Genomic DNA, 20,057 nt, shown 5'->3' on the forward strand with positions numbered 1-20,057 from the left:
GCTAGGCAAATGGTGTGGATCAAAAAAGCAGCAGGTTGCAGGGAGGACGGCAGTGTTAATCGAAAGTCATGTTCTGTAAGTTTTAGGTTCGATACGACTCTGAGCGGAGATGTCAATTAGTCAACCGAATGTCAGGTGTGAAGATCGGCACAGAGGGCAGAACCAGAGACATTCATTAGAGAGCAAACAGGTAGAGGGCACTTAACCTATAGGAAGGATGCACTCATATAGAGCGAGAAAAGGGCCAGAAGGAGCCCTAATGAGTAGAGAAAGACAGGCTGAAAAGGACATCGGCGAGGTCAGAGAAATACCTTTAGGGTGTAATTACGCCTACGCGAGTGGGTAAAATGAGGGCATAATGACGCGGACTGGATTGCAATAAACAGCTTTTATTCTTTTATCAGAGACACGATCTAGCTTTTTAGCCCAGGCCGGAGTGCGGTGGCATCCTCACAGCTCGCTGCAGCTTCACTGGGCTCAGGCGATCCTCTCGAGTAGCTGGGGTACAGGCGCAGGCCACCGTGACAGGCTTTTTTTTTTTTTTTTTTTTTTTTTTTTTGAAGAGAGGGTCTCACTATGTTACCCAGGCTAGTCTCGCAGTCTGGCACTCCTGGCCTCAAGCGATCCTCCTGCCTCGGCCTCTCGGCCTCCCAAAGTGCTGGCCTGTGCCCAGTCAATGGCTGTTCCAAATTAGGGTCTACCCATCTCTATGCAGGGCTAAAGTCCGCGGGCGGCCCCGCACCGCTACCAAAAGTACAGTCCTGTGCGCCCAGACGCGACGCAAACAAGAGTCGCAAGCTTCCGGGTCCCCGCCCCACCCCGGCTCCGCCCCTCCCCCAACCCTGCCAGGCTCTCCAATCGCATGTGGAATTATCGCTCTACCCAGGCGGTGGTGTCGATCTACGTTCCAATTGGGGCCGTACCATGGCGGAGAAGACTCAAAAGAGGTGGGTTTGCTGCTTGAGAAAAGCCTTTTCTCAGCTTTCCGTAGGGGTGGAACCTGTTCCTGGTCGCCAATGGTGGCGACTCAGAAGGTGTCTCATCCTGGGCATTCGGGCCGAAGGTACCTGAAGCCCAGACCTGGCGTCCACTGAGGGAGGGGGCGACGGAGTGGGGGCGGGGAGGGTTGAGAAGGGACGCGGAGTCGCTGCCTGGAAGGTTTTTGTTCCTGTCTGGCCGTCCCTCCCCACATGCGCCTGCGCAGAGGGGGTCTCCCGGCCGGGAGGGCGGGGGGGGCTGTGAGGGGAGGGTGACGTCAGCTTTTTCCTGGGGAAGGCCGGCTCCCTTCTCCCGCATAATCGGCGGTGCTTGGCGCCGCTGTACCCCACGGCTTGGCGCTGGATTCTCTGCTGCATGTTGCGAGACCCCCACGCCAGTGCTGGCCGCACCCCAGGCCCTTCCTGTCTCTGGAGGGTGGGGTGTGTAAAGGGATTTACGGTCGCTGTCAAAAGGGGGGCCGCGCCTGGACTTGAACTGTGACACACACACACACACATTATATAGATGCAAGGAGTACTTGCGCAGATTTGTTGCATAGATAAATTGCGTAATGGTGAAGTTGGCTTCTAGTGTACTTACCACCCAAATAGTGAACATTGTATCAGATGGGTAATTTTTCAGCCCTCAAACCCCTCCTACCCTCGCTGCTTTTAGAGTCCCCAGTGTCTGTTATTTCCCTCTTTATGTTTATGTGTACTCATTTTAGCTCCCACTTAAAAGTGAGAACATGTGCATTTGATTTTATTTCTGAGTTATCGCGTAAGGTAATGGCCTCCAGTTCCATCCATGTTGTTGCAAAAGACATGTTTCCTTTCTTTTTGATGGCTCTGTAGTATTCCATCGTATAGATACACCACATTTCCTTTATCCAGTCATCCGTTGATGAACACTTAGGTTGATTCCATACTTTGCTATTGTGAATAGTACAGTGATAGTCATAGGAGTGCAGTTGTCTTTTTAATACAATGGTTTCCTTTGAGTAGATCCTGGGTCGAATGGTAGTTCCGTTTGGATTGGTAGCTCTATATGGATTGCTGGGTCCAATGGTACTTGTGTTTAGTCCTTTGAGAAATCACCATACTATTTTCAATAGATGAACTAATTTATATTCCCACCAATAGTGTATAAGCTTAGAACTGTGACATTTTTTGCCAGGCGTGGAGTGGACAAGCTCCTTTGTAAACATGTGGGGACAGGAAGTTTGGCTTCTTCTCCGGTAGTCTTCATTGCTGGGGGCTGTTGGTGGCTGTTGGTGGCTGGGATGAGACAAGTGCATAAGTAAAGCCATTTCGAACAGCAGCAGTGTTGAGCTCCCTCTGCTGACTATTTTTGACAAAGAAAACTGACATTGTTTCTGGTGCCATAAATTAAAATGTAGATTTTTCTTCCATTTAAGTAGATACTCTGTAATCTTTTTTCATAAGCTAAAGAGGAACAGATGTACTATAAATATTATGTGCAGTAGATAGCAGTAGATAGTAGCTTACAGTGAAGATTAAGGTATTGTTGACTTGTTACTTTTACAGATCTGAGGTTAAGTCTTGCCCTCCCATCTGCCGGCTCACCTCTCTGCTCCCACCACTCCGAGATACAAGGGGTCCTTGCAGAGATATCGGGACCACGTTTTAGTTGGCCTAGTGGCCTGCCCCACTGAGAAGTGTGCTGATTGTGACGCAAGCATTACCTGGGATCTCTCCCTTGGGCGTAAAACTGAAGGCAGGGGGCATTTGTGAGTCTCTCCTACTCTCAGTTGCCCAGGACAAGTTCAATGTTAGATAATGCTCTTTTCATAATGAGAAGGAAGCTGAGGAAATGGAAAATTGCAATGAGAAATAAGGTCTAAAACAAGAGACATTTTATAGAGGCTAATGTATTTGACCAGGGCTTAATAAAATTGCATATTTTAACAAAAAAAACCCACTTTAAATGAAAAGTATCAGAGAAATGACATTTACAGCTGGTGATACATTCAAGGACAGTGTCGCTCATTTATCATGGAAAAACATCTGGAGTGACAGGATGTTTCCAGAAAACTTTCAACTAGAAGACAGATGACTGATTTCAGGACAGTGATGCCCCAGGAATGAACTCTGCTCCAAGAAATTTCTAGTCTCTGAATTTCAGTTTTTTCTTCTATAATATGAGAGGGTTAGACCAGGTGATTTTCTTCTAATCTTACTAAAATCTTTCTTCTTCAATACAGCAGGAGGGCTACATATTTTCTGTTATTTCAGTAGATTGACTTTTTTTTTTTTTTTTTTTGTGAGACAGAGTCGCTCAGGCTGGAGTGCAGTGAAAGCTTTGCACCATGCCTGGTTCCTTTTTTTTTTTTTTTTTTTTTGAGACGGAGTCTCACTCTGTTGCCTAGGCTGGAGTGCAGTGGCACAATCTCTGCTCACTGCAACCTTTGCCTCCTGGGTTCAAGCGATCATCCTGCCTCAGTCTCCAGAGTAGCTGGGACTACAGGCACCCACCACCACACCTGGCTAATTTTTGTATTTTTAGTAGAGATGGGGTTTCACCATGTTGGCCAGGCTGATCTCGAACTCCTGACCTCAAGGAATCTGCCCACCTCGGCCTCCCAAAGTGGTGGGATTACAGGCGTGAGCCACTGCACCTGGCCCAGATTGACTCTTGACAGGCTGTATCACCCAGAAGGACCATTGGTAGGATTTCATTGACTTACGCCTTATAAAAAGTCAGAGCCTAACAAAATGATGGAAACAGCTGGAGCTGTGTCTATTCTCAAAACCATTTCTTGAAGATAGACTCAGGGATTATTAGTTTTTTCTATTTGATACATGTTTTTTTGTTTACTTAGAGCTTTAAAAATTCATGGCGGTGTGAAGGTTTGTCCACCCTAATTTGTGGAAGAAAAATTTGTGTATGTCTTCTTTTTTTTTTAGTTCATCACACCAGTAGGGAAGTTGGTACAATCTTAAAAATAGTTTTCATCTTACTTTGCATGTATATTAGGGAATACTTGGGGGGAAGATTCTGGCATAGAAATGATGGAGAGACATGTTAATGAAAGAATCTTTACCCTTCTGACTCTCAGAGCTGTATTTTTAGAACTCTCTTATGAGCTTCAGAATCTGTATTTTCAGTCGCTTATTGGATATATCTGGTGACCATTCCATAGATACCTCAGACTGAGTTTATCTAAAATTTAGCCAAATGACTTTTTTCTCTAAAATCTACCCCTCCTCCCATAGGCTATTCTCAGATGGTGCCATTAGTTTTCCAGATCAGAAACCTAGAGGCTTTGACCTTGCTCCCTAGCTCCAGACTTTTGATTAGTTTTCTTTTTTTTTTTTTTTTGAGACAGGGTTTCACTCCATCACCCAGGCTGGAGTGCAGTGGTGCAATCTCAGCTCACTGCAACCTCTACCTCCTGGGCTCAAGCGATCCTCCCGCCTCAGCCCCCCAAGTAGCTGGGAGTACAGGTGTAAGCCACCATACCCAGCTAATTTTTGTATTTTTTGTAGAGATGGGGTTTTACCATGTGACCCAGGCTGGTTTTGGTTGTTTTTCTGGCATAAGTGAAGCAGAGTCACAGCAGCTGATTTTGAGCCCTGGAATTTGAGCTTCCCTCTCCATCAGGAATCATCCCTTCCCAGGAAGGGGACAAGATGGCACCAGTTTCCTTATTTCACTCCATGCCCCTCACACCCATCCTTCTGTAGTTGATATGGTTTGGCTGTGTCCCCACCCAAATCTCATTTTGAAATGTAGTTCCCATAATTCCCACATGTTGTGGGAGGGACCAGGTGGAGATAATTGAATCATGGGAGCCGTTTCCCCCATCCTGTTCTCATGATAGTGAATTAGTTCTCATGAGATCTAATGGTTTTATAAGGGGCTTCCCCCTTCACTGGGCACTCATTCTCTTCCCTGCCACCATGTGAAGAAGGACGTGTTTGCTTCCCCTTCTGCCATGGTTGTAGGTTTCCTGAGGCCTCCCCAAACATGCTGAACTGTGAGTCAATTAAACCTCTTTCCTTTATAAATTACCCAGTCTCAGGTATGTCTCTATTAGCAGTGTGAGAACAGACCAATACACTAGTCAAACTTACTTCCCCTGCACAGAGAAGAAAGCAAATATAGTTTGCTCTTTATATCCATGGGTTCCACATCCATGGATCCAACCAACCTCAGATCGAAAATAGGAAAAAAAAATTGTGTCTGTAAACAATACAGTATAATTATTTACATAGCATTTACATTGTATTAGGTATTGTAAATTATCTAGAAATGACAAAGTATGAGAAGATGTGTATAGGTTTTATGCAAACACTGCAGCATTTTATATCAGAGACTTGAACATCTGAGGACTGGTCCTGGAACCAATCTCCCACAGATACTGGGTACTGAGGGATGCGACTGTATGCACTTTGTGGTCCATGGGGCCTGTAACAAGGAATGGGAAATACCTACCTTCAACGTTGCCTAGAAACCAGATTTTTATTAAATGTGTTTGTTGCCAAGTCTTGTTTCTATTTCCTAGACATACCTGCAGCTTCTCCTATGTGCTACCAGTGCATTTGATATGGTTTGGCCCTGTGTCCCCATCATATCTCATCTTGAATTATAATGCCCACCTGTTGAGGGAGGGACCCGTAATCCAAGTGATTGGATTATGGGAGTGGTTCCCCCATGCTGTTCTTGTGAAACCTGATGGTTTTATAAATGGTAGTTTTTCCTGCGCTCACACTGTCTCTCTGTCCTGCTGCCTTGTGAAGAAGGTGTCTGCTTCCCCTTTACCTTCCGCCATGATTGTAAGTTTCCTGAGGCCTCCCCAGTCATGTGGAACTGTGAGTCAATTAAACCTCTTTCCTTTATAAATTACCCATTCTCAGGGAAGTTCTGTAGAGCAGTGTGAAAATGGACTAATACAGCATTTCAGGCCTGCATTATCTCTGTAGGATTAGACCAACTGCCTCCCTGACCCCCCCCACCACCAAGTACTTCTTCATACAAGTGTCAATTATCTGCATACCATTTGGTGACATTGTTGGCTTGGGAATAGGAATCCTTCAGTGACTTCTTGCCTACAGGTGCAAATTCAAATCCCTGGTCATGGTGTACAAGCTTATTCATGGGCTGATCCTGCTTTTCCTCCCAGCCTTACCTGCTCCCTTTCTCTTCATGATTTTTGTGCTTCTTCTCATTCAGTGATGTCCAACCTGGGAGGGGGGAAGAGGTTTTTACTTTGTTACTTACCAGTCTTTGCTTAGATGTATGCATATGGTATTTAAAAATAGATAGAATAGATAAAATTGTGTTTTAATTTTTTTTTTTTTTTTTGAGACAGAGTCTCACTCTGTCGCCCAGGCTGGAGTGCAGTGGCGTAGTCTTGGTTCACTGCAAGCTCCACCTCCTGGGTTCACACCACTCTCCTGCCTCAGCCTCCCAAGTAGCTGGGACTACAGGCGCCCACCACCACGCCCGGCTAATTTTTTGTATTTTTAGTAGAGACGGGGTTTCACCGTGCTAGCCAGGATGGTCTCGATCTCCTGACCTCGCAATCCGCCAGCCTTGGCCTCCCAAAGTGCTGGGATTACAGGTGTGAGCCACCACGCCCAGCCTTAATATTTTTACATAAGCATTCTTGCACAAACATTTACACCTTTCTTTTCTTTTCTTTTCGAGATGGAGTCTCGCTCAGTCACCCAGGCTGGAGTGCAGTGGCGCTACCTCGGCTCACTGCAAGCTCCGCCTCCTGGGTTCATGCCATTCTCCTGCCTCAGCCTCCCCAGTAGCTGGGACTACAGGCCACCACCATGCCCGGCTAATTTTTGTATTTTTAGTAGAGACGGGGTTTTGCCATGTTGGCCAGGCTGGTTGGTCTCAAACTCCTGACCTCAAGTGATCCACCCACCTTGGCCTCCCAAAGTCCTGGGATTACAGGTGTGAGCCACCATGCCCAGCCCAAAACTATTGTATTTCTGTATACTGTGACAATTGGAAATCAAAATTTTGAAAAATCCAAACAAAATTACAAAGACAAAATATCTAAAATGTTAGTGTTATTTCATAGTAGCTGAGAGCAGATTTAACACCATGAATGTCATTGCCATTTAGAAAAATTCTTTTATTAATGAAAAGAAGTTTCCTAATAACTATCACTGTAATGGAGAAGTCATTTGATGTACTTCCTCATGTCAGCTCATGGTTCAGCTAGGGTCAGTGTTTACATACAGCTTTGTCAAACAAAAGATAACAGCAGAATATAAAAAAGCATCAATAAGTTATATGGAAATTATTAGAGTCTTTTGAAGAATTTGTACTACAATTTATATTACTTGGTAAAAAGTTTCTCATATATGTGTATGTATATATATATATGAGAGTAAACAGAAACATTTGTAAATTTTAAATTTCTAAGTTAGTATTACCTTGCTGGTTGTTAAATAGTTTGAATGTATATTTTTTCTTCCTACCTTTACAAAAATAATGGCATATTACATACTGTCCATTTTCTCACTTCACTCTTTTTTACTTTTAACAATATAGCTTGGAGATCATTCCATATTTTTTTTTTTAAGAGATGAGGTCGCCGGGCACGGTGGCTTATGCCTGTAATCTCAGCACTTTGGGAGGCTGAGGTGGGTGGATCACCTGAGGTCGGGAGTTCGAGACCAGCCTCACCAACCTGAAAAAACCCCGTCTCTACTAAAAATACAAAATTAGCCAGGTGTGGTGGCACATGCCTGTAATCCCAGCTACTAGGGAGGCTGAGGCAGGAGAGTTGCTTGAACCTGGGAGGCAGAGGTTGCAGTGAGCCGAGATGGTGCCATTGCACTCCAGCCTGGGCAACAAGAGTGAAACTCTGTCTCAAAAAAAAAAGATGAGGTCTCACTATGTTGCCCAGGCTGGTCTTGAATTCCTGGGCTTAAGCAGTTCTCCTTCCTTGGCCTCCCAGAGTGCTGGGATTACAGGTGTGAGCCACTGTGCTCAGCCATTCCAAAATCTTGACAAGAGATTATTCATTCTTTTTGATGGCCATGTAATAGTCCATAATGTGCCATAATTTATTAACTAATCTTCCACTGATGAATATCTAGGTTGTTTTCAGCTTTTTGTTGTTTAGAAACGTGCTGCTATTAAAAGAAAAGATTCAAAACTCTTCTCAAGTGTTTTAGCACATGTGATTTGGGATGATGGACAATATACCAATTGAAAAATTTATAATGTATTAAAACCTTACCCTCTTACCATTGACTTTCCATTTTTCCATCTTTTTTTTTTTTTTTTTCCTGAGACAGAGTTTCACTCTTGTTGCCCATGCTTGAGTGCAATGGCGCGATCTCGGCTCACTGCAAACTCTGTCTCCCGAGTTCAAGTGATTCTCCTGCCTCAGCCTCCCAAGTAGCTGGGATTACAGGTGCTCGCCACCACGCCTGGCTAGTTTTGTATTTTTAGTAGAGATGGGGTTTCTTCATGTTGGTAAGGCTGGTGTCGAACTCCTGACCTCAGGTGATCCCCCCACCTCGGCCTCCCAAAGTGCTAGGATTACAGGCGTGAGCCACTGCGCCTGGCCTTTTTTTCCATCATTTTTTAAACCTTGTTTTCATTACAATGTCACGGTAGCTCCTCCAACAGTATGTTTAATCTTACCCCTGGTAAATGTTACCTTTTTCTTGCTACAGTGTGAAGATTGCTCCTGGAGCAGTTGTATGTGTAGAAAGTGAAATCAGAGGAGATGTAACTATCGGTAAGAAATAGTTTATTTACTGTTTTTCAAGAATTGATGTGATTTAATCTATTTTAGTGCTTTACAATTAGATACCGTCTTCCATGTTTATTTCACTGATGTCCTAGTTTTATTGACAAAATAATGCATTTTCTCCTATGTGTTTAAATTTCTGAAAGAATGTAGTGTGATGGAGGCTGTGTTTAAACTCCTATCTGAAATACTAATGAGGCTGTATAACAAAGTCATTCATGTATTTAAGAGAGATCTGTTGTGTACCTGCGATGTGCCAGGCACTGTGCTAGTGCTAGAGACACGTCAGTAAGCACAGCAGACAAAGGTGCTGCCTTTGTGGAGCTTCGTGGAGAGCGTGGGCCATGGAGTCAACAGACCTGGGCTACTCTGCTCCTTGCTCCTTTCTTGCTGGGTTACTTTGAACATATTACTTAACCTCTCTAACCTTGATGTTTTTCCCATCTATATAATTGTGTGTATCAGGATCAGGTTCGGCTGCATGTAGGGGTGGCTTACACCTGCAGAGGTTTATTCTCTCATATAAAAAGTTTCAAGGTGAGTAATGGAGGGCTGATCGGTTGATTGTCCAGCATGGAGCTCCGGCCCTGCAGGCCAGGAAGTGATGGCTAGAGCACCAAGCATCATCTTGGATGAGAAAGGGGAGGCGTGGAAGCAAAAGGGCATGTGTTCCAGCTGTGAGTCAGCTCCCTTTAAACAGCCTTCCTGAAAGTTCCACACGACCCTCCTCTGTGTGTCTCATGGCTAAGACAATCTCATGGACACATCAAGCTGCAAGGGAGTTTGGGAGTTGTAGTCTTAGCTGGTTGCATTGCAGCCGCTAATGAGATCAGGGTTCTATTACAAGGAAAAAGAGGAGAAGAGATATTGGATGGCAATGAGCAATTTTCATAACATGCAAAATAGTAGTATCTACCTCCTAGGTTTCTTGAAAGAAAACATGAAAATTGTGAGTAGTAAGCTGTCAATAAATATTTGCTGTTAACGCTGTCAGATCTTCTCAGTGTAGCCTTGCCAGAGTTCAAGTCCAACATTTTACTTACGTGAACTTGACTAAGTTCCTCAAACATTTTACTCTGTTCTTTTAACTGGGGTTTACCTGGATATGGTGCCCTTGTAGTTTTATTGGTGTGAGCTCATTCTTACCAGCAGCCGCATGTCACCTGTATGCTACCAGACTAAAGTGTTCAGTGAACTATTACACTTTCAGAGAGGAAATACACTTTATTTCCTTAAATGAACAGTTTCTTTAATGAAAAAAAAAAAAACCCTGTAACGTCATTTTTTTTTTCCAAAAAAAAATCTAAGCCTCCAAACAATTTAGGCATCTTGTCTTATAAAACCAGTGGAGATTGTGCCAGTATTATGGAACATTGTTAAGAATTTGCCAGGTTAGGACGGGCACGGTGGCTCACGCCTGTAATCCCAGCACTTTGTGAGGCTGAGGCGGGCGGATCACATGAGGTCAGGAGTTCAAGACCAGCCTCAACATGGAGAAACCCCGTCACTACTAAAAATACAAAATTAGCTGGGCATGGTGGTGCATGCCTGTAATCCCAGCTACTCGGGAGGCTGAGGCAGGACAATTGCTTGAACCTGGGAGGCAGAGGTTGCGGTGAGCCGAGATCGCGCCGTTGCACTCCAGCCTGGGCAACAAGAGCGAAACTCCTTCTCAGAAAAAAAAAAAAAGAAAAAAGAAAAAAGAATTTGCCAGGTTGGTTGATTTAATTATTTCTTTTCAGTGCCGTGGTAACTCTTTGTCTTTTGTATTACCTAAACCACTTGCGAAGTGTTTATGAAGCAAAATGAGGAAAGTTATGTTTTTTAATTTTTTACAATCTCTACTGCAGACTGGGACCACATATTTATCAAAATGCTCCTCTGTGTTCTTTTTACTCATCATTTTACTGCATTATAATTGTGGCTATCATCATGATATTCTAGGAATAATACCTTATAGTAGTTTGCAATGCATTCTTCAGTTAGAAGGAAAGTAAGACTGAAGTGATGTAATTAATTATGTAGATTTTCCCTGGCATTTCTACTTCTTCCCCATTTTACATTTTTTCTTTTCTTTTTTTTTTAAATCCCCCAATGTTACAACAACCCCGTTTTGGTTTTTTTTTTCTTTCTTTTTTTTTTTTTGAGACAGGGTCTCGCTATTTTGCCAAGCTAGTCTTAAACTCCTGGGCTCAAGCGATCCTCCTGCCTCAGCTTCCCAAAGTGTTGGGATTACAGGAGTGAGCCATCACACCTGGCCCAACAACAACCCCATTTTAAATAAGTATATAATGTCTACTATAAGATAGGTATGTAGATAGTATAGATACATCTGCAGGCATAAATATACACAGGCATTATGTGGTGGGGGGGGTATGTATTTCAGATTTGAAATAACATCTTTTGCAGAAGCTTTTCTGGGCTGTAAAGGCATTATCCTGTGCAAGGAAGGTAGCTGCCAGTGATTGGTGGACCACTGCCTAGGACTGAGTTTTAGGGGTATCAGGGATCAGTATTCACTTTCCTGTTTCTCTCTCTGGTTTTCACTACATTGTGGTCCTCCCCCATCTTTAACCCTCTTATGTTCCTACCTTCCCTACATGTTGAAATTATTTAAGGAAGTACAGGCTGGATGCCGTGGCTCATGGCTATAATCCTAGCACTTTGGGAGGCTGAGGTTGGGAGGATCACTTTAGCTCAAGAGTTCAAGACGAGTGTGGAAAATATAGTGGGACCAGAAAGAAAGACAAAAAGAGAGAGAGAGGAAGGGAGGGAGGAAGGGAAGAAAGGAAGGAAGGGAGGAAGGAAAGGAAGGAAGGAAAAGAGACAGAAAGAAGGAGAGGAAAGGGAGGGAGGGAGGAAAGGAAGGAAGGGAGAGAGACGGAAAGAGAAAGAAGGAAAGAAGAAAGGAAAGGAAGAGAAAGAGAAAGGGAAGGAAGGAAGGAGAAAAAAGAAAAATTAGCAGAAGGAAGGGAGGGAGGTAGGAAGGGAAAAATTAGCTGCATGTGGTGGCGCATGCCTGTAGTCCCAGCTACTTGAGAGGGCTCAGTGAGCTATAATTGCACCACTGTACTCCAGCCTGGATGACAGTGTGAGACCCTGTCTCAAAAAAAAAAAATTACATAAGGAAGTGCATTGTTTAAATCTACTTTCCTTTTAGTTTGTTTGTTTGTTTAGAACCAAGGTCTTGTTCTGTTGGGCAGGCTGGAGCGCACCAGTGTGATCATGGCTCACTACAGTGTCGAACCCCTGCACTCAAGTGATTCTCCCACCTCAGCCTCCCAAGTAGCTAGGTCTACAGTGACGCACCACCACACCTGGCTAATTTTTGTATTTTTGCCCAGGCTGATCTCAAACTCCTGGCCTCAGTTGATCCTCCTGCCTTGGCCTACTAAAGTGCTGGGATTACAGGTGTGAGTCATTGCTCTTGGCCCTTCAGCTAGTTTTTGACCACTAGCTGGTAGTGCACAATTCTGATGGTTAAAATGACATTTTAACACAGATTTTCTTTCTTTCTTTCTTTCTTTTTGAGACAGAGTCTCGCTGTCTTGCCCAGGCTGGAGTGCAGTGGTATGATCTCAGCTCACTGCAACCTTCACCTCCTGGGTTCAAGCGATTCTTGTGTCTCAGCCTCCCAAGTAGCCAGAATTACAGGCATGTGCCACCACACTTGGCTAATTTTTTTGTATTTTTAGTAGAGACAGGGTTTCACCATGTTGGTCAGGCTGATCTCAAACTCCTAACCTCAAATGATCCACCCTCCTCGGCCTCCCAAAGTTAGCACAGATTATAACATAAGAAGTGGTAATACATTTTTAAGGAAAGAAATCTCTAGCGATTTAAAGTTTATCACAGCAGACAGCCTCCAAGTGAATACTTGTTATATTTACTTTGACCCAGTGTTTCTAAACAAGAAAATTTTTGCTCAAATACTGAGGAGAAAAACTCAATTTTAAAAGTTAAGGAAAATATGAGGAAAAATGAAGGTTCAGAAGAGTTATATAGTTACCCATGGTTCTGTCTTCTACAATTCTTGTCTCATTTTTGTTATGTATGTTTCTTATCTTCAACTGTATAATATGGGAATTTTTCAGAATTAGTAATTAGATAATCATTTTTGTCATTGTTATATTTGGTATAAAATGTCTCAAGTCTTTTGGCTTCTATTAATTCATTTTTCTGATGTAATGCATCAGATTAAAAAGCTCCTGGGAGATACAATTATAAAAGCAAAGAGTGGAGATAAGTCATCTGATTACAACTCTCCCCACCCTGCTTTATTTTTCATTTTAGGGCTTTTATTGTTGTTTTTACTTAGTTTATCTGAGTTAAGTAGCAATAAACTGTTGTTTAATTCATAGATTTTTTTCAGGATGTTTTGTGTAATTTTCCATCTTCTAGTCATGTATACTTTTACAAATTATTCCATTCTGAAATATTTCAGGAAGAAAGTAATGTTTTCCTTTGCTAAGTTTCAGGCTAATGGAACTTTAAACCCGATCTGTTTTCCTAGAAAAGCAGGTATTTGTTTTTTCAGAGAAACTAGCTGGATGCTTGGAAGTATGGTCCTTAACCAGAAACCCTATGACTTGAAGCTCTGCTGGAGCCTGACCCCCTTATTCAAGGCTGTTCAGAGACAGAGCTTGGGAAAAGTAACAGCCCTCTTGTTAATTATAATTTGGGTAAATAAGGTTTCATAGCATCAAGCCTATTTTTAGTTAGTCTGCCTTAATTCATGGCCCATGAATTATTTCCTGTAAATCTTTATTTTGAGAGCTGAAAACATTTCTGAAAGGTACCTTGAAGCACCGTCCCGTGGTCCATTACAGGGCGAGAGGCCGGGACAGAACTTGGTCAGGACATCAGTATGTGAAGGCGGAACTCGGCTCAGTGGAAATGTTTTGTGCTGGAAGCACTTTGTCCCACTTACTTAGTCTCTCTAGGAGAGTTTTAATACGGACCAAAAGCCTCCCTTTCATTGCGGCAGTCTTTTTCAGTAAGGCAGAACAGTGGCTTTGACTTGAGAAATTATCACCTATAAAGCACTCTTACAGGTACTTCAGCTTACAGTTCAAGAAAATTGTTTAGTTGTCAAAAAAACAGAGCTTAAGGCCTTTTGAATTATTTATTGACAAATGGAAATGTACACAAAGATTGCTTTCTGTGGCAAAGATAGACAGGAAAAGTGTCCTTTACCAGGGAAATGGAAATTGGATGCAAGGAATATCTTTCTGGCTATGTGGCACCAAGCCCAGCCAACCATTTAGAAAAATAATTCATCAGCCAGTAAGGCAGTTCCAACTCTAGACACATTTTTCCAAACAAGCAGATAAGCCAAATAGGGCTTCAGCACATTTAGTAAGAAAATACACAAACTACCCCGCCAGAAGGAGCGCCAGGGTTCACAGCAGGCTTTCAATGTTTTCCGTGGTGACAGATTTTTATTTTTAAAGCACTTTAACCTCAAGACCCTTAAACTTTATGTTGAATTCAGACCTGATCTAGGTGTAATAAAAGTGCTCATGGCATCAGAAAAGCATGAAGTGAACCGTGGCCACGTTTCAGTGTGCTGTTTCTTATGGTGCTTGAGTTGCTGGGCTCTGGGCTCTGTGCTGCCCAACCTCCATCAATAGACCACGCAGACAAAGCAGAATTATCCGCATCATTCACGGAAATCACAGCCTTCCTTTAAGAAGTTCACCAGGCCAGAGGCGGTGGCTCACGCCTTTAATCCTAGCACTTTGGGAGGCCGAGTCGAGCGGATTTCCTGAGCTCAAGAGTTTGAGACCAGCCTGGGCAACACGGTGAAACCCCGTCTCTCCTAAAATACAAAAAATTAGCTGGGCGTGGTGGTGGGCTCCTGTAGTCCCAGCTACTCGGGAGGCTGAGGCAGGAGAATTGCTTGAACCTGGGAGGCGGAGGTTGCAGTGAACTGAGATGGTGCCACTGCACTCCAGCCAGGACGACAGAGCGAGACTCTGTATCCAAAAAAAAAAAAAAAGTTCACCAAACCAAAATCTAGCGGTTATGTATCCTGAAGTACGCTTATGCTAACTACTTCAGTCTGTGCCCAAAAAAGACCCGCAAGAAGTTGAGAGAAGCTATTTGATGAGTTATTGCCCGTGACATTTGCTGTCACCTCACAATTTAAAGCTGATCATTTCTCAAACTTTTATTTCAGCCTCTTAACACTGGGACCTGTAGTTTGGCAATGCTGCCAGCAGGTGGAGGTGGTGTCTAAATCACTGGTCTCACCTAAATGCGGCGGTGCTTTCTCTCCCTCTCTGGACACAGCCCTCAGATTTCTAACCAGGCATTTTCCAGTTACTTGTTTAATAATTATTAATAATGATAAAGACAGTAATAACAATAATAAAATAAAATACCTGCTTAAAATAGCTCACATATTATTTTTTAAATATTGTGCAAGACATCTTATGGGACTTGGGGTTGTTTTAATTTTTTTTTTTTTGAGACAGAGTCTCACTTTGTCACCCAGGCTGGAGTGCAGTGGCGCAGTCTCGGCTCACTGCAACCTCTGCCTCCCGGGTTCAGGTGACCCTCCTGCCTCAGCCTCCCAATAGCTGGGATTACAGATGCCCGCCATAATGCCCGGCTAATTTTTGTGTTTTAGTAGAGATGGGGTTTCGCCATGTTGCCCGGTCTCGAACTCCTGTGCTCAAGTGATCCACCTGCCTCGGTCTCCCAAAGTGCTGGGATTACAGATGTGAGCTACCACACCTGGCCTATTTTAATTTTTAAAAATGTGTGCTTCTGGTATCTTCTGTGAAAAAAATTTTTAAAAATTTTTAAAAAGTGTGCTTATTTGTTTGAGTTCTTTATATAAGAAATTTGTATTACTTAGTCATTTTTGAAAGGGAAAAATGAAACTGTCACTTGTTTTCATAAGTTTTAAAGAAACACACAGGTCCCAGGGGTATCCTTGTCTTGTCAAGAACTACAGCTTGATGACCGGCAGAATATCTAGTGTCTCTGGCTACTTATCTAGCAGTGGCAGAGGATCTGCTTTCTGTAACAGATATGACGATCACTTCCTCCTATCTTTTTTTTTTCCCCTCAGAGACAGTGTCTTGCTCTGTTGCCCAGGCTAGAGTACAGTGGTACAATCATTGTTCCCTGTAGCCTCGAACCCCTGGACTCAAGCAATCCTCCCACCTCAGCCTCCCAAGTAGTTGGGACCACAGGTGCACCCCACCATAACTGGCCAATTTTTTTTTAATTTTTCATTTTGTAGAGAAGGGGGTCTGACTCATTGCCCTGGCTGGTCTGGAACTCGTGGCCTTAAGTAGTCCTCCCACCTCAGTCTCCTGAAGTGCTGAGATTACAGGTGTGAGCCATTGTGCTCAGCCCCATATCTAAGATTTTTAAAGCTAGTTATGGAAAATACTTTCATTAATCTTTTTACTGTCTGATCATGTGGTGTGGAATTTTTCCCCTTGGCTAACAGGAGGTATTACCCTGATACCTGAGTAGAGGTGCAAAGTGGTTCATTTTCTTCTGTGTCCCAGACCAGAATTAGTTATTTTGCTTACTATGAAAAAGTTGTGCATTAGCTCTTAGTAGTAAATAGTGATAAATCTCCCATTTTTTAAGAACCATGGTCCAGACCCCACAATCCCTCTTTCAAACATTTCATATAATCCACATTTCAGCCCAAAGAAGTAGGTTACAGATCTCTTCTTTCTGTAGATGAGAAAACAAGCCTTTGTGAGAGTAAGCACATCACCTTTAGTGATAGAGTCCGGTGTCTAGACTCTCTAGACAAGGGGGGTGGGGCTGGCTGGGGCTTTGATTACAAAGAACCTAAAAGAGGCAGATTGTGTCCTGTTATCATAGAATATTTTGACGTAAAATATAAACCTGGTATGGTGCAAACTACAAATTTCAGTTGGTTCCCACAGCTGGAAGCCTTACAGTTTCTCCTTTAAAAGAAATCCACTGCTCATTTCCCTGTTGTTTAGGATCACAGCCCCGAAAGTTGTGATGTCTAAATGCCATTATTAAGGGACCTGTGAAATAAATTATGGTATATTAATATAAAATGAGATACTTTTCAGCCATTAAAAAGAATATCTATCTAGATATACTTACTTGGAAAAATTACCATGAAATAAGCAAATTGCAGAAGAAGGTAATATTTCTTGGTGTGAAAGAAGTGTGTGCTTGAAATGCATATGTTTTTCCAAATCGTATTTATTTTTAAACTTTTTAATGAGATATAGTTTATATGGAGTGATATTTACAAATTTTTTTTTTTTTGAGATGGAGTCTCGGCTCTGTCACCCAGGCTGGGGTGCAGTCATGTGATCTTGGCTCACGGCACCTTCCACCTTCCAGGTTCAAGCGATCCTCCCACCTCAGCCTCCTGAGTAGCTGAGACCACAGGTGTGCACCACCATGCCTGGCTAATTTTTTTGTATTTTTCGTAGAGACAAGGTTTCACCATGTTAGCTAGGCTGGTCTCAAACTCCTGACCTCAAGTGATCCACCCACCTCGGCCTCCCAAAGTGCTGGGATTACAGGCATGAGCCACCGCCCCCAGCAATATTTACATATCTTAAGTGTACAGTGGAGCTTACATCTGGAATAATATACTCCAAACTTTTAAGAATAGCTAACTATTTTTTTGTAATTTTTTGTAATGATCATGTTATTTTATATATGTATCTATGTGAATATGTGTTATATATGCATATATATTTTTTGTTTGTTTTAAAGAAAAGGTTAGATGCACACATTTACACTCATGTTCAACTTGAGAAGCTTCCCAGGGATCTCAGAGATCCATCCCATCTTCCATCCTGAAATCTTCCATCCTGAATAGGAGAATATGCCTGGGAAATTTTACTTTAACAGCTGAAGATTTGGAAAGCCAGAAGTGACTGAGAGATCAAGGCCACTCTTGTTATTTCTTACCAGACTGTGCGTTCTGATAAGAAATGTTGGGATGTTGGACTGAGCACCCTGTTTTAGGCCCCCGCCCTCATTATCAGCCCCCAGCAATTCCTCATCAGGAAAAACAATAGGCATTCCTGAGGTTCTCTCCAATTCTCTGGGCACCAGAAACACCTCCTTATTTATTTTAGTACATTTGTGAATGAGTGTATATTAAGCATTCCCAGTTTTCAAGATAACAAGTTCAAAAGGACAAAAATAACATGTATTTATTTTTGTTGCCCCATAACATATAGTGAGGCATCTCAGCTGTCACAGGCAGATAATAATTATGAATTGACAATTTATATCATTAGGTGGGGCACAGTGGCTCACGCCTGTAATCCCAGCATTTTGGGAGGCTGAGGCAGGAGGATTTCTTGAGGCCAAGTGTTCAAGACAAGCCTGGGCAACATAGTGAGACCCCATCTCTAAAAATTAGCTGGATGTGGTGGCATGTGCCTGTAGTTCCAGTGATTCAAGAGGCTGAGGCAGGAGGATTGCTTGAGCCCAGGAATTGAAGGCTGGAGGGAGTTATGATCACACTACTACACTCCAGCCTGGGTGACAGAATGAGACCCTGTCTCTTAAAAAAAAAAAAAAAAAAAAAAACCAGTTTACACAATTGAATACTGAATTTCTTTCCTAATCCCCCACCCCCTCTATCAACACTTCTGTCCACCCTCCCTTACTTTCAGAGTCAGTTACTTCATCTGCACTTGTTTACCCATAAAAATTGCCTTGGTATTGAGGGGTACGTGGGATGGATATTGGAGAGAGCCTAAAGGAGGCTATGTTTTCTCATCAGTGGTTTCATTATCACCAGAACCCTCAGCCTGTGGTAGATAAAGCTGGGAGGGAGTATGTTAGCATTCCAGGCTCAGGGCGGGGTAGACCGTGCTGGTGAAGTGGGAGTAATGAGGGCCCTGGCTGTTCCCTTCAATTCGAGACTAGAGGCATCGCCTCAGGGCTCCCCACGCCAAAGTCCTCGGACTCCAGTGATCACCTTTGGGTCCTTCTGCTGCCTCCCTTTAACCTTTTCAGCTTTCACTGGTTTAAATCATATCCTGGGCCAGACAGCAGAAGCTGTGCCACCTTTCAGTAGGTGTGCTTGTAATAGGGACACTGACAGAGGAACAAAGCTGTTAGATCCCATAATTTCTGACTTCTGTCCACCCATATTTCTCCTTTTTTTTTTTTCTTTTTTTGAGACAGGGTCTTGCTCTGTCACCCAGGCTGGAGTACAGTGGCATGATCTCAGCTCACTGTAGCCTTTGCTTCCTGTGTTCACATGATTCTCCTGCCTCAGCCTCCCAAGTAGCTGGGACTACAGGCGCACATACCATCATGCCTGGCTAATTTTAGTATTTTTTGGTACAGATGGGGTTTCGCCATGTTGGTCAGGCTGGTCTCGATCTCCTGACCTTAAGCGATCTCCCCGCCTTGGCCTCCACATTTCTTCTCAATTATGTAATAAAAAGACTAATTCGGAGGTACACTCGCATAAGAAAGCAGAACAGCTTAAGCAAAGAGAGTGTTACCTTGCTGAGGGAAAAGAAGGAATTAATTTTTATTGCCACCTTTGTGTCACATGCTGTGTCTCCAGCATTATCGCCCCTAGCCCTTACAGCAACCCTGTGGGACTGGTGTTGTCATCACCTCTGTTTCACCGCTGAGATCACAGGAAGCTTCCGAGTGGAGGCTGAGCCAGAGCTGTCTGGCTCTAGTGCCTGTGCCATTCCACTCACATTGGCTTGCAACTTGGCCCTGACTACTGATGATAAAGCCTGGGAGATAGTATCTGTGAAGTACCTAGCTTGGTGCCTGGCACATACTTAGAAAATGTTCCTCCCAACAGCCTCACCCATCCTCAGTCACCTTCCACCCTTCTGTTGGAAGCATAGCCTCCACCAATAATTTCTTCTCAAACTATTTTTAACAGGACCTCGGACAGTGATCCACCCTAAAGCAAGAATTATTGCGGAAGCCGGGCCAATAGTGATTGGCGAAGGGAACCTAATAGAAGAACAGGCCCTTATCATAAATGCGTAAGACTCTTATACATACTGTGAACCAAGTACCATGGGTAACGGTTTTTCTTAATTTCAGCTGTCTGTAAGAACCTTTTCAGCTGACATCCAGGAGGCCTACTATTTTAGAGCTAGAGAAGCATTAAGGGTCTTTTTCAACATAAGTAAATGAGCAAACCAAATACCATATGAGGGAAAAGACTTGTCCAAGATGAGAGAGCTGAGTAGCTGCCTAGAATCTTTGACGCTCGGTCTGGTGATCTTCCCCTTACATGTGGCTATCTCACCCATTCCTTAAGCAAACATTTCCCGAACACTTCAAGCCTCCAAGTGCTGTGCCCACC

The 20,057-nt window shown here is 43.3% G+C and overlaps 1 protein-coding gene and 2 long non-coding RNA genes across 3 annotated transcripts in view, besides 5 other annotated features; 1 reads left to right on the forward strand and 2 right to left on the reverse strand.

The window, feature by feature from the left end:
* Window positions 1-210: an enhancer, noted in NCBI's record as "active region_27210". NCBI's record gives its function as "activates an Ori minimal core promoter by ATAC-STARR-seq in GM12878 lymphoblastoid cells {active_cell/tissue: GM12878}" and the evidence as "EXISTENCE:reporter gene assay evidence [ECO:0000049][PMID:35858748]".
* Window positions 1-1,110: a biological region, named in NCBI's record as "NANOG-H3K27ac-H3K4me1 hESC enhancer GRCh37_chr8:30013010-30013992".
* Window positions 35-1,017: an enhancer, noted in NCBI's record as "NANOG-H3K27ac-H3K4me1 hESC enhancer chr8:30013010-30013992 (GRCh37/hg19 assembly coordinates)". NCBI's record gives its function as "activates a minimal SCP1, AML or CMV promoter by ChIP-STARR-seq in naive H9 embryonic stem cells {active_cell/tissue: H9 hESC(naive)}" and the evidence as "EXISTENCE:reporter gene assay evidence [ECO:0000049][PMID:30033119]".
* On the reverse strand, window positions 370-1,201 carry DCTN6-DT (DCTN6 divergent transcript). Its single transcript, NR_186490.1, has one exon. It is a non-coding gene; the product is annotated as a DCTN6 divergent transcript (long non-coding RNA).
* Window positions 910-20,057, forward strand: part of DCTN6 (dynactin subunit 6) — a 27,271-nt gene continuing 8,123 nt past the window's right edge. Inside the window, exons 1-3 of the mRNA NM_006571.4 lie at window positions 910-947; window positions 8,652-8,716; window positions 19,626-19,731. Of these exons, the coding sequence (NP_006562.1) occupies window positions 925-947; window positions 8,652-8,716; window positions 19,626-19,731 (194 nt within the window). The 5' untranslated portion in view covers window positions 910-924. The remainder of the gene's footprint in view (window positions 948-8,651; window positions 8,717-19,625; window positions 19,732-20,057) is intronic.
* Window positions 961-1,110: an enhancer, noted in NCBI's record as "active region_27211". NCBI's record gives its function as "activates an Ori minimal core promoter by ATAC-STARR-seq in GM12878 lymphoblastoid cells {active_cell/tissue: GM12878}" and the evidence as "EXISTENCE:reporter gene assay evidence [ECO:0000049][PMID:35858748]".
* Window positions 1,171-1,280: a silencer, noted in NCBI's record as "silent region_19076". NCBI's record gives its function as "represses an Ori minimal core promoter by ATAC-STARR-seq in GM12878 lymphoblastoid cells {active_cell/tissue: GM12878}" and the evidence as "EXISTENCE:reporter gene assay evidence [ECO:0000049][PMID:35858748]".
* Window positions 1,713-2,651, reverse strand: LOC124901927 (uncharacterized). Its single transcript, XR_007060880.1, has 2 exons — window positions 2,565-2,651; window positions 1,713-2,423 (listed from the first exon to the last, which is right to left on the reverse strand). It is a non-coding gene; the product is annotated as an uncharacterized LOC124901927 (long non-coding RNA).

Source organism: Homo sapiens, chromosome 8, assembly GCF_000001405.40.
Source record: "Homo sapiens chromosome 8, GRCh38.p14 Primary Assembly".
In the NCBI taxonomy this organism is placed as follows: Eukaryota; Metazoa; Chordata; class Mammalia; order Primates; family Hominidae; genus Homo; species Homo sapiens.